This window comes from Homo sapiens, chromosome 1, assembly GCF_000001405.40.
Source record: "Homo sapiens chromosome 1, GRCh38.p14 Primary Assembly".
Taxonomy (NCBI): Eukaryota; Metazoa; Chordata; class Mammalia; order Primates; family Hominidae; genus Homo; species Homo sapiens.
In genome coordinates, this window is record NC_000001.11 from 166,170,981 (window position 1) to 166,183,093 (window position 12,113).

The 12,113-nt window shown below is 43.2% G+C and overlaps 1 long non-coding RNA gene across 1 annotated transcript in view, besides 2 other annotated features; it reads left to right on the forward strand.

The window, feature by feature from the left end:
- LOC112268276 (uncharacterized) overlaps window positions 1-12,113 on the forward strand; it is a 175,024-nt gene that overhangs the window by 5,104 nt on the left and 157,807 nt on the right. The gene's annotated exons all lie outside the window — the stretch shown is intronic.
- Window positions 5,311-5,480: an enhancer, noted in NCBI's record as "experimental_1002 CRE fragment used in MPRA reporter constructs". NCBI's record gives its function as "activates a minimal promoter by MPRAs in K562 erythroleukemia cells, with activity observed for both the introgressed and non-introgressed 1:166145613 variant alleles {active_cell/tissue: K562}" and the evidence as "EXISTENCE:reporter gene assay evidence [ECO:0000049][PMID:34662402]".
- Window positions 11,468-11,597: a silencer, noted in NCBI's record as "silent region_1510". NCBI's record gives its function as "represses an Ori minimal core promoter by ATAC-STARR-seq in GM12878 lymphoblastoid cells {active_cell/tissue: GM12878}" and the evidence as "EXISTENCE:reporter gene assay evidence [ECO:0000049][PMID:35858748]".

Below are 12,113 nucleotides of genomic sequence, written 5' to 3' on the forward strand. Positions count from 1 at the left end.
CTGTAGATGACTCGGTCCTTCCAGAAGCAGGGTGATCTCTGACTTTATTTTTCCTCTTGATTGACTCATTACTCAATTTGTCAAGTGAGCTTTTTAGAAACTCTGGGTCACAAGGGCCTATTTTCTAGTTGACCTTGGCAAGGGTTTTCAGAGACTATAGAACAGACTACCAAGAGATGTTGAGGAATTGCCTCTGGAGCTGTTAAAAACAGACATGGATTTCCGTCTCACTTAGATGGCCCAAAGACAGGCAAGAGGTTAGCCTCAGGCCCAAGACTGCAGGATTGAGGAAACAGCTCCTTCTTGATTGTGAGCTCTCCCTACCACTACTTCAGAGCCAGGGTTACTAATTTCTCTTCTAGAACAGGCTAAGAAACTCAACATGGAGTGGAATATGGCAAGGGACTCAGGCACTTTGCAGAAGTCATTCAGCCCAAGATGTGGCAGCTATTGTGTGGTTCAAGTAGTCAATATTTATCAAGCTTTTTCCACTAGCCTTGCATTAGATTAGGCCACAGAAACTATGAAGAAGGATACCTTGGTTCCTCAGCTATTCTGTTGTAGGTCTGCTGTGCCTATCTCTGCTGCTTTCAAAGTCCTTTTCTCTGTCCTGATCTGTCAGATTTGGCACTCTTGAAAGAAAACTACTTTTAATCCCGTGATTCTGCAAATCCTGATTCTTCTCTTAGCTTCTCTGACTCCTCTTGCTTTCCTCATTTTCCAGGGTCATACTTCCTAAGGGTCTCCCCTCTTCTTCCTGAACTCCCTCAGGGTATTTATCCATGTTTTAACTGGTATTTTTCATGGATGTCTTCCAAGTTTGTCTTGCCAGCCCAGCATTTCTCCTGAACTCAAGGTCAGCAGACCCATCTGCCTGCTAGATGTTTTCATTTGGATGTACTGCTGTATCCTCCTCCATCACAATGAGTTTTGATACCTCTCTTTCTGTGAGCCATTGTTTCTTCCGGACTACCCTGTTCCTGGCTGAAGGCGCCAGTGTCTTCCTACTCTTAAAGTCCAGAACCATCTTGGGCTCCTCCCTCTTCATCTTTGCTACACTCAATCTAACACATCAAGTCAGAGCAAATTTTGATCATGTATTTCCCTACTGTGGAAACCTTCTGTGTTTTCTTATTACTATTAAATTCATCACAAATCCCTCAGGTTGGTATTGAAGTGCTGCACCATGATGGGACCCCAACCAACCTGCGTTTCTAGCCTTCTTTCCCTCTATTTCCTGCCCACCCTGGGCCTCAGGTCAAGCAGATGACTCACCAGTCCTTCAGCAGTTTCCTATTCTCTGTTTTGGTTAGGCCATGTCCTCTGACTGTATGTTTAAGCCCCACCCTGTTCCATGACAATTACAATAACCATGTGTATCTCATTTATTCCTGGCATAAGTCTATATCATTATCCTCTTTTACATATAAAGGTACAGTGGAAAAGAGAGTAAGGAACTTCCCCAAGGTCACAACTGGCAACTGGCCAGGCTAGGACTCAGACCTCCATCTGACCACACGTTAATGACCCTCTAGCTCCTGTGAGAACTTCTGGGAGCACTTCAGCTATATAAGATCTTTCCCACCCTAGAGTCCTGCTAAGAACATGTATAACTGATGCCTGTAGAACTGAGTAACTGATGCCTGAATGAATAAAATAACAAGGTTTTGTAATAGATTTATAGAAAGCTCAAAGGAGAAGGAAGAATCAAGGATAAATCCAAGAGGCTAATAGCTTAAAGGACAGTAATACCATTGTCAAGGTGAATCACGTGAGACGAAGAGAGTTTAGTGGGTTGAGAACTACAATGATCTTGATGTTAAAGTATCCAAGTGTTCAAGTGAAGATACCCTGTAGGGGAAGTCACTAATGAACACATCTTGTTTGAGTGGTCATTTTAGAAATTATAGCTTAGTACAACTCCTTCCTTCCTTCTCCTGTTTCTCCCTCCTTTCCTTTCTATCCCTTTCTTTCCCTTCTTTACTTTCTTCCAGAAATATCAATAAGCCTTTTCTTAGTGCCTGTTGTTATGATGGTGCTTAGAGATTCTGAGACATATAATATACTACATGTAGTTCTTACCTTATTAATAGCACTCACACTTTTAAAAATACAATTTATTTACATGTCTCTCTCGTGAATACATTATCATTGTCTTGGGTTTGTGCATTGTATTTAATTTGATTTTTTGTCCTCAGTTCTAAGCACAGTGCCTGGCACTTTGTGTGTGCTCAAATGATAATGAGTAAGAGGTGAGGAGTAGGGGAAAGGGTATTACAGGTTAAGACCAGTGCTTCTCAAATTATTATGCACATACACATCACCCGGGAATCTTGTTAAAATGCAGATTCTGATTCAGTAGGTCTCAGGTGGGGCCTGAGATTCTGCATTTCAAATGAGCTTCTAGATCTTTGTTACTCAAAATGTAGTTTGAGGACCAGCAGCATTGGCATTCAAGTTCAAGAAGCTCGATAGAAGGGGTAATGTTCTAGGGAGAAGCAGGAAGTTTAGTATGGCAAGCATAGCACATGGGGTGCAGGGATGGGGAGAGGTAAGGTCAAAAAGGGAGAGAAGGACCAGAGCCTACAGATCCAAATGTCTACATGAGGCAGTGGGAGGTATAGTGAAAAGCTAATGCAACTGGACTCAGACATACATGAGTTCTAATCTCACCTTGGACAAGTAATAGCTGTATGCTTTCCGTATCCCTAGGCCTCATGTTCCTTGTCTATCAAATGAGAATAAGGAGAACACAATGTCTTTTTTATGAGATTGTCATGTGCATGAGCTGAATGTAAATCTCCTACTACAATGCCTGGCCTGTGGTAGGTACTCAATAAATGGTAGTGAGCATTGTCACCATTGCATGTGAGGGACAATGTGATAGAGAAAACATAATCCCTGCCTATAGGAATTTCCAAAGTGGTCCGTTTCCAAAATGAGCCTCCTGGCTATGGCCCCTCCATTTTTCCTGTTTCAGTTTCATGACTGACGTGGGTAAATAGTCAATTGGTTGCACAGCTTGAGGCCCTGGGTGGGATTACCACTTGCAGAGAAACCCAGGTCCCTAAAACCATCAGCAGAAGGTCATTACCTTCTCTGGATTTGCTTTGGACTGATTCACATTTCTTTTAGTCACCTTTCCTCTTTTTTCTCTTCTTACTTCACCCATAGGTTTCCCTACCAAACACTGTCTGATCTTGGATAAGGTGTATTTTACCGTGATCCCTCTGCATGGGTCAGAGACTGGGATTTAGTCTGAGGATTTATCCAGCGTCATATTAGAGCAGCAGCTCAGTGCTGGTGCATGTCTGCAGGCGTTCCTCATCAGCAGGGTTGGCGGCTGTCCAGCTTGCTGCTGTGTGGAAGGCAGAGTCACCCCTTGTCCTCTCCAACTCCCTTGCCATTGCCACTATTCAATCCTCATTCACTAGGAGATCCACTGGTCTCCAAAGGGTCTACACTGCAGGAGAAGAAGGATATAAGAGAATTTCTATTTTCCATTATTTTAAACATTTTATGTTAAAATTTATATTTGATGTATGTTTTATTTATTTATCAGTGTTGTGCTACTGACATATATCATTTATAAATAAATAAACCTAAATGGCAACCACTGATCTAGACAATTGCAATTCCTTCTAACTGATCTCATCTCAATCCTTTTTTTTATATTACACTCTGAATTATCTTTCAAAAACACACTTCTTATTGTTCACTGGCTTATCTGAAGCCATTCATTCACTTATTCATGCATTCATTCATTCATTCACTTGCTGAGCAGCTGCCATCTGTCAGCCGTTGAATGAGGTGCTGGACAGATGAAGACAGACAAGATACTGCCCTTGTCCTTACAGAATTCAGGGCTCCTTGTGACCTCCTGCTCCCCCGGGTGGTGAAAAAGACTTTGTAATCTGGCCCCTTCCTACAGCCTAAACTCTCACCCCTCCACTCACATTTAGCCACATCAGGGTTCTTAGTGTTGCCCAAACAGTTTGCCATGTGCTTTTTATTTTTCATCCCACAAGCATGTACACTCTGTGAGGGCAGGGGTCCTTGCCTTTTTGTTCACTAATTAATCCCAAAAGCTTAGTACAGCACCCAACATAGAGTGGACACTTAAATATTTATTGAATGCATGAATGCCTTGCATATGTTGATTCCTCTTCTTTGAGGTCTTTCTATCTGATGAATGTCTGTCCACCCTTTAAAAGTCACTTCCTCTGTGAAGCCTTGAAGCCTCCCTGCTCCCTGGCCCCCACATACATACCCTCCCATGCACAGTGAGCTCTTTTTCCTGGCTGCTCTGGTGAATATTCCTCCACATTAGCAATTGCCAGGGTGTCCTGCAACTGCTTGTTTATGTGTCAGTGTCTTCTGCTAGTGTATATGCTCCTTCTGGGGTTGTCACTATATGTTTTTCATTTTTATATCCTGGTGCCTATTTCAGACTAAATATTTAATAATAGTTTCAGAAAGGAAAGGGGGATGGAAGAAGTGAAAGCTGATGTCCTTGTAGATCTTGCTGGGTAGAGAAACTGTGATGTATAAAGGGCTAGGTCAGGCCCTGGTGGTCTTCCCTTCAATCACCCTCTTGTAAAGTATTGAATTTTGCCCCCTGGAAGAGATCTTGAAGTTCAAACCCCCAGTAACTCAGAATGTGACCTTATTTGGCACAGTGTTGTTGCAGTTGTAATTAGTTAGGAGGTCATGCTGGAGAAAGTGTGCCTTTAATCTAATATGAGTCGTCAGTCCTTATAAGAAGACACCGGTGCACTGAGAGAATACCATGTGATGACAGAGGCGGAGACTGGAATCATGCAACCAAGGAAAGTCAAGGATGGATGGTCACCACCAAAAGGAAGAGGCAAGAAAAGATTCTACCTGGAGTCTCGGAGGGAGCATGCCCTGCTAACACCTTGATTTTGGACTTCTAGCCTCTAGAACTGGGAGAGAATAAAATCTCTGTTGTTTAAAGCCATGCAGTTTGTGGTGCTTTGTTGTTACAGCAGCGTAGGAAACTGGAACATCTCCCTGACTTCAGCTGAGGCCACCAGCTCCTCCCTGCAGGCTCAGCATCACCCCTGCCTGGACAATTAAGTTACACCTGACTAAGGTGTGCCAGAGGCCCAGCGACACCCTCTGAGCCTTAGCAGTGCCAGCGTATCCTGGTTGTGGGCTGAATCTGATCTAGAGCCTTGTTCCCAAGGCCCACTTTGGTCTCTGGTCCTTGTCACAGAGTTTCCACGTCTTTCCTAGGATCCACTCTTTACCCTATGCCCCACTTCTAAGAACTGGCATCCCTCTGTTTTCTTGAGTGTCCCAACGGGATTCTCCACATTTGCCCTTCTCCTTTGCCCCTAACCTACTTTTTTCACACAATAATCAACATGATCTTTTAAAAACTGGAATAAGATTGTGTCACTTATTCTCAAAAAACATTTCAATGGCTTCCTACTTCTCTTGGGACCCCATTTTCAGTCTTACCATGTGGTGTGACTGTGATAAGCTACTTCATGAGCTGGCTCCTGGCTGCCTCTCCTGCATTATCTTGTACCATGTTCTGTCTCATCTGTTCCATCTGCACATTTTCCTTCTTTCATGTCACTGAATGAGTCAAGCCTCACTTTCTACCTCAAGGCCTTTGTGCAAACTCTTTCTTCTGGTGAGATCAGTCTTCTTCCTGTACCCCTGTCCTGACCTCCAACCTCTAACCTCCACCCTCTAGCCTCTGCACATTCACATAGCCAACTCATCCTTTAGACTTCGACCTAAATGCTGTACCCTCAGCAATGCTTTCAACCCCGCACACCCAGCCAGGGCTCATTTTTGTGCATTCTTAAAGCCCTCTGGACCTCTTTCCCTCAGCACTTATATGAGTAATTAAATAATCATTTCTGTGATTATTTAATTAATTTTTTTTTTTTGAGGCAGAGTTTCATGCTTGTTGCCCAGGCTGGAGTGCAATGGCGTGATCTCAGCTCACTGCAATCTCCGCCTCTCAGGTTCAAGCAATTCTCCTGCCTCAGCCTCCCGAGTATCTGGGGCTATAGGTGTGCGCCACCATCCCTGGCTAATTTTTTAAATATTTTTAGTAGAGATGGGGTTTCACCATGTTGGCCAGGCTGGTCTTGAACTCCTGACCTCAGGTGATCCACCCACCTTGGCCTCCCAAAGTGCTGGTATTATAGGCATGAGCCACCACGCCTGGCCTGCAATTATTTAATCTGTCTTCCTTGATAGATTATAAGCTTCATGAGGGTAGAAACTATGTTTAGTTTTTTCATTGCTGTTTCCCCAGCCCTCAAAACAATGCCTGATACCTAGTGACTATTGAGAAAATATTTGTTGAATAAATGAATGAGGTTGAGACCTTGTCTTGGTAACCTGCTTAGTATCCCAGTCCTTCTAGAGACGTTGTCCTACTTCACTCTCAACACTCCCTCACTCCCTTGAGTGGGAGAAAGATCCCCTAACTCCACCTTAGTGCAGGGGCCATGCTAGTTACTCTCAGACTTCCTTCGCACTACCTGCTTCTGGCTGCTCCTGGATCTGTTTGTTATGTCCCCTGCCAGGGCATATTCATCGTTCCATCTTGGAAGCTCTAGTGCCAAGGCCAGGGCTCCTTGATGCCGTGTTATACCTGTGGGACTAGAAACATTTCTCTCTGCACTTGCTTTGGGATCTCCACATTAGTTCCAGGTCCCACCCCTCCTGGTCTGCCCCATCCAAATTGTGTCAGGGTCAAGTGTCTGCAGACACAACAAGAGGATTCGAGAAGCCAGTGATGGGATCTTCAGGGATCGACTGTTCAGGGAGTGCTGCTGTATGCTGTGTTTACTTAGAAAATGCAACGTGTGCCTCAGTTCAGGCTAAATAAACACAACATGAGGGCAGAAACCTTCATGGCATTTACCACTAAGATAAGTAATTATTTTTATTACTGCTAGAAACTATTGATTTACGAATAGAAAGGAAGTCCAAATCACATTAAAATAAATGGAATGAGCAGGAAGAAAGGAATAAATAGGAAGAAATAATACAAAAGGGAAGGAGAAAACCTGAGAATCCCTTTACGTTGGGTATTGTGTTTACTGGAAGAGAAACTAATTTTATCTATATCACTCAATAAGTATCACACACAGTGGAAGCAAAATAACGTTAGTGTTTACACTTCCTGAGGCGGCTGGGGACAATAGCCACAATCCTGCACTGACTTGAGATAAGCATCGAGCAGGTCACACAGCACAATTTCATTTCCCAAGCCCCTCGTGGTGCTAGATGGGGAAGGCTATGCTATTTCCCTAAAATGTTTGAAGCACAATTGATTATGTCTTACATAAGCCCTCAGGCTGGCACTGGGAGCTTTATAGGAAAGTGTGCATCTGAGACTTTTTGCCTTTCCATTAACAAAGGACTGGTAGTGGTAGTAACTCCTTTGGTGTTGGGCAAGTCACAGAAATTCTTTGAGCCTCAGCTTCTTTGTTTGCATTTGTAATTCAAAAATATCTTCATGGCTGTTTCCAGATTTCCTCCTGTTTTTGTCTTTGGAAACCCCTTGATAACTGCCTAGGACAAGAGATGAGTATCTGATAAGGAAATTGAGATCTCATAAAAAGATGCTAGTCAGTTCTTTCATAGAAATGAATATGAGTTTGGGGGATGGGAAGAGACTAGGATAAAGAGAAGACAAGGGAGAGAGGAGAGAGTGAATGGCCTACTAAGATGTGTATGGAGATCTACCCATTAGAATAGGGAGGTCCGATATTCAGTTTTAAGTGGTTTCTATTATACTTTCATGTGAGAGACCCACTTCTCCGTATCTCCAAGTCTTCAACACAGTATGCTTTACATACACAGTCCCTGCATGTATATGTGTGTGTCTGTACGTAGATTGAAGAATAAGAATGAGTTCTAAAGCTGGGTTAATTCTAGGGCAAATCTATAGAAACAACTATGAGACAAAGTGGAGACCAAGAGTTGAGAAGTTACATGAAGTCAGAGTCAAGGGAGACTATGAGGACATAAGCCCCCTGAAATTGACAGAAATCTTGAAAAGGAAATTGGATTTCCTAGTGACATGGGATGAGAATTTAAGTCAATCTAAATCTTTCTCAAGGAGAAGGAAAACCTGAGCACACCTGGGTCACATATAAAATGAGAAAAATAAGGATGACACAAGAGCAGAAATCTTTGTGGACACCACCTTCGGAATGAGTAATTATTTTTATTACTGCTAGAAACTGCCCTGCCTTGATTACCTTATATGGTTGTCATGAGTTGAGAAGAATAATGCATGTGAAAAGATTATTGATGTCAGATATTGTTGTTACTATTTTAGGGGACTTAAAGCCTTCTCTGCTTGTGTCCCAGACTTTATCACCCAATTTCCAATCTGGAAAGCATTACACAAAGGTTATTTTTTTTTATTCTTGTTTGTTGGAGATCAAGGGCCACCCCATGGGACAGCATCTTCCTGAGCATGCTATGGTAATAGCTAAAATAAATGCAAAGCTGAGCAATTTGGCAGCGGTCTAGAGAGACTGAGCAATTTCCTGCTTGAAAAAGAAATTAAAATACTACATTAAACTTATGAAAAAAATGAGTGACCAATCAGAGGCAATTCAGCTCCTTTTCTAGATGAGAGAGAGTGATGGGTCCTGAAAAGGGGATTCTAAAGAAGTTCTCAAGGTAAGGAGTAGAAGCAAAAGCCAAAGTGATCTTCTCTGTTTCTCATTTATTTATTTATTTTAGAGACAGGGTCTTACTCTACCACCCAGGCTGGAGTGCAGTGGTGCGATCATAGCTCACTGCAGCCTCAACCTCCTGGGCTCAAAGGATCCTCCCACCTGGGCCTTCTGAGTAGCTGGGACTACGGGCATGTGTTACCAGGCACAGCTAATTTTTAAACATTTTTTTTGTGGAGACAAGGTGTTGTGATATTGCCCAGGCTGGTCTTGAACTCTTGAGTTCAAGTGATTCTCCTGCTTTGGCCTTCCAAAGTGCTTGGGTTACAGGCTTAAGCCACAGCACCCGGGCTTCTGTATTTGATCTAAGGTTTACAGGGATGTAGAAACAATTGAGCAGAATGTGTAAAGGTGAAGACATCTGAGCAGAAATGGTAAAAACCAAAAAACAGACTGGGAAGTTAGTGTGATGAGATATGTGCCAAACAACAAGAAAACCACTCCCAGGCACATTAGACGAGGGCAGTGACCCCCAACACCACCCAGGTGGAAGCCACTGTCACCATGGAACTGGCAGGCTTTGTCCAGAAGATTAGATGATTTCTAAGATGTAAAATGGTAAACTTTCCAGGCATCAATCGGGAAATTGTAGGGCTCTCCTCGTTTGTTTCCTCTCTTTCAGGAAAGCCTATTCTTTACTTCCTGTTGTCCAATGTCTGAAATCTTGTTTCATAAAGTTTGTTCAGTTTTTAAATTATTTAAGGAGGGAAAGAAACTTAGGCTATTTTTATTCCATCTTGGTTGGAAGTGAAAGTAGACATAAAATAGCTTAAGGTGAAATTGCTTAAAGATCTGACTTTTATGGAGCCTCAGATTCAAAAAATAATGCCATGTTCATGAAATCCTAGAACATGAAAACCCTAGAGTATCTAGGGAGCAAGAGGACAATCTCAACATGCCTAAAATCTGCACAGTTTGTTCCTTTCTGCCTCAGATAGAAGCACATGCTGGGCCCTGCTGAAAGCTTTGCTAGAGTAAGACAGAGGAGCCCCCAGTCATCACTGGATTCTGAGGCTCTGAGCTTACCCTTCATTTCAGTGAATCCACCTGCCCCACCCAGGGCCCTGGTCGCAGTAGATTTGCCTGGTTTCCTTGAAGACTATTTCTACCCACATTTCAAGGGAAACAGGCCTGAGCCCCATGGGGCCTACTAACACCTCAACATTAAAATTCAAGACTGAGACATGAAGCCATCCTCCCAGGGCTTCAATTCTGGCTGGCCATAGGAGATGATGAGGAAGTAGGACAGAGTGAGTTTAAAACACAATTAACTCTGTAGCAGCAGACTTATGATAAATTACTTTCTTTCCTTACAGAAATTCAGATTTCCTGGGTTGGAGGGACCTGTTGAAATAAGGAGTAAGAGCTGGGCAGCTTCCTGTGCTGTAGGGGAACTGATGGCCTGGATGGTTGAGCATCCCTGATGACTGCCCTCTGGGAAAAAGATCTTGAAATAGAATTCTCAGGAGGCTAAGCCTCTCCCCGAGGCTTAGAATCCTTGTTTCAGAGAGTCTGGCCAAATGGCCTAGAAGATTCTTTTCTGGTACTCCTTGGAAGTCAATATCATTTCCCTTCCAGTTTCTTTTTATTGAATCAGAGAATAGAATTGAATAGAAACCAATATCAAGGAGGTGCAGTCAGGGTGGCCATGACAAGGGAAGATTCCGCCTCCTTGAGTGACCATGAAGCCTTTTTTGTTAGGGCAAACTGTGATGGTTCCTATAATGATGATACATTACTGTAGTGATGACAGACACCAGGTGTCATTTCTGTGCACAATACATAGCAGGCCCTGTTGATTACAGAGTATGAGCACAGGTGTGTTCAATGCTTCTGAATCAGCAGCAGTGCCCAACATAGGTCAGGACACACAATAGGTATATAGCAAATGCTCACTGAATGAACAAGCCAGAGAGTTCCATAATTGTCATGGACTTGGACAGGGCCATGTTTATTGAGCTCTTCCCGGGTGGATGGCACCAACAATGTGTCATACAAAACTCAAAACACCTCACCTGCCACAGGGAGTTTTCCATTCTGGGAGTAAAAACTGTAGTACAAAGTTGTCATCTCTACAAAAGCAGTGTCTCACAAGTCCCTGGAGAAAGAGATCACTTCATTCTATCTTTTTGCTTAAACAGTAGCCCTCTGCGGCACTATCTGTCTGTTTTCTAATCAGCATGTTCTGAAACCCTTCCTATGTTTAGGACATTTTCTGCATTGTAAATCTCACCTCCTTAAAAGGAAAGCCAGATATTTGCTTTCCCACTTCCTTGCAGCTAGAGCATATTTACCAGATCCAAGTTTTGCCAATCAGACCCATGGATGGAAGACTTCAATTAGGGAAAGAACAGAGTGAGGAAGCAAGGGCTGTAACCATTTTCTGATGAGGATAACTATGGGGCACTTGGTTGTTAGGGGTAACAGAGGCAGAGTTTTGGGCTTCCAGGGCCCAGTATCAGGGCTGTGGTCTCCGTTGGAGCCAACCACAGTGTGGTCCAAGTGTTTTCCCTGATCATGTTACCTCCAAGCCTGGCTTTCTGACCCTCCTGGAGGTTTTCTGAGCTACCCAATATCTTTTAATAAATTCTTTTTCTGCTTAAGGTAAATGGAGGCGGTTCTGCTATGTGTAACTGAGAACCTGATAGATAACTCCTCTTGGTTGTTGGTTGTTAAGGGCCAGTGCTTCCTGTTTATGTGAATGCAAATTAAACTCATTTGTTCTGTGATTCAAGGTACAACTTTCTAAGGGTTGCTAGGTCAGAATGAGCAAGCAGGTCCCAAATTACCCTTGAAGGAGTGAGTAGAAATCTCACTTCTGAAAGCTTCCTTACAGTTTCTGCATTCTAAATATACTCAGAATGAATCACATTAGTTTGCTTCTGTGCCTGGACCATCCAGTTTTGGTAAGTACACCTGGATACCCAAGCCAGGGACGTGCAGTCATCCCAGACTCTTCCTCTCTCTCACCTCCCAGTCACAAGCTTCTAGAATTTCATTTCATTACTATTGTTTAAGTTATTGCTCTTCTGCACATCCCGACAGCTCCTGCCCTGGCTTAGACCTCCATTCATAGTATGTGCCTCCCCGTTCAGCTCCCTGCCTCTAGCCTCTTCACATTTCAGGCCATCTTCCATGTCACTCAATTTAGTTAGGTCACTCTCCCTTCTAGGAGGAGACGAGTTTTTGAGCTTCTTTGTGATCTTGCCCCAGACAACTGTTTTAAACTCACTTCCTGCTACTTTCTCATCATCTCCTGTGTCCAGCCACCCACCAGTCTCCAAACACCAGGTTCTCATTGCAGCATCTTAAGAGTGCACTGCTCTTTCTTCTCGAAATGTCCTTTATCAAATCATGCATTTGGCA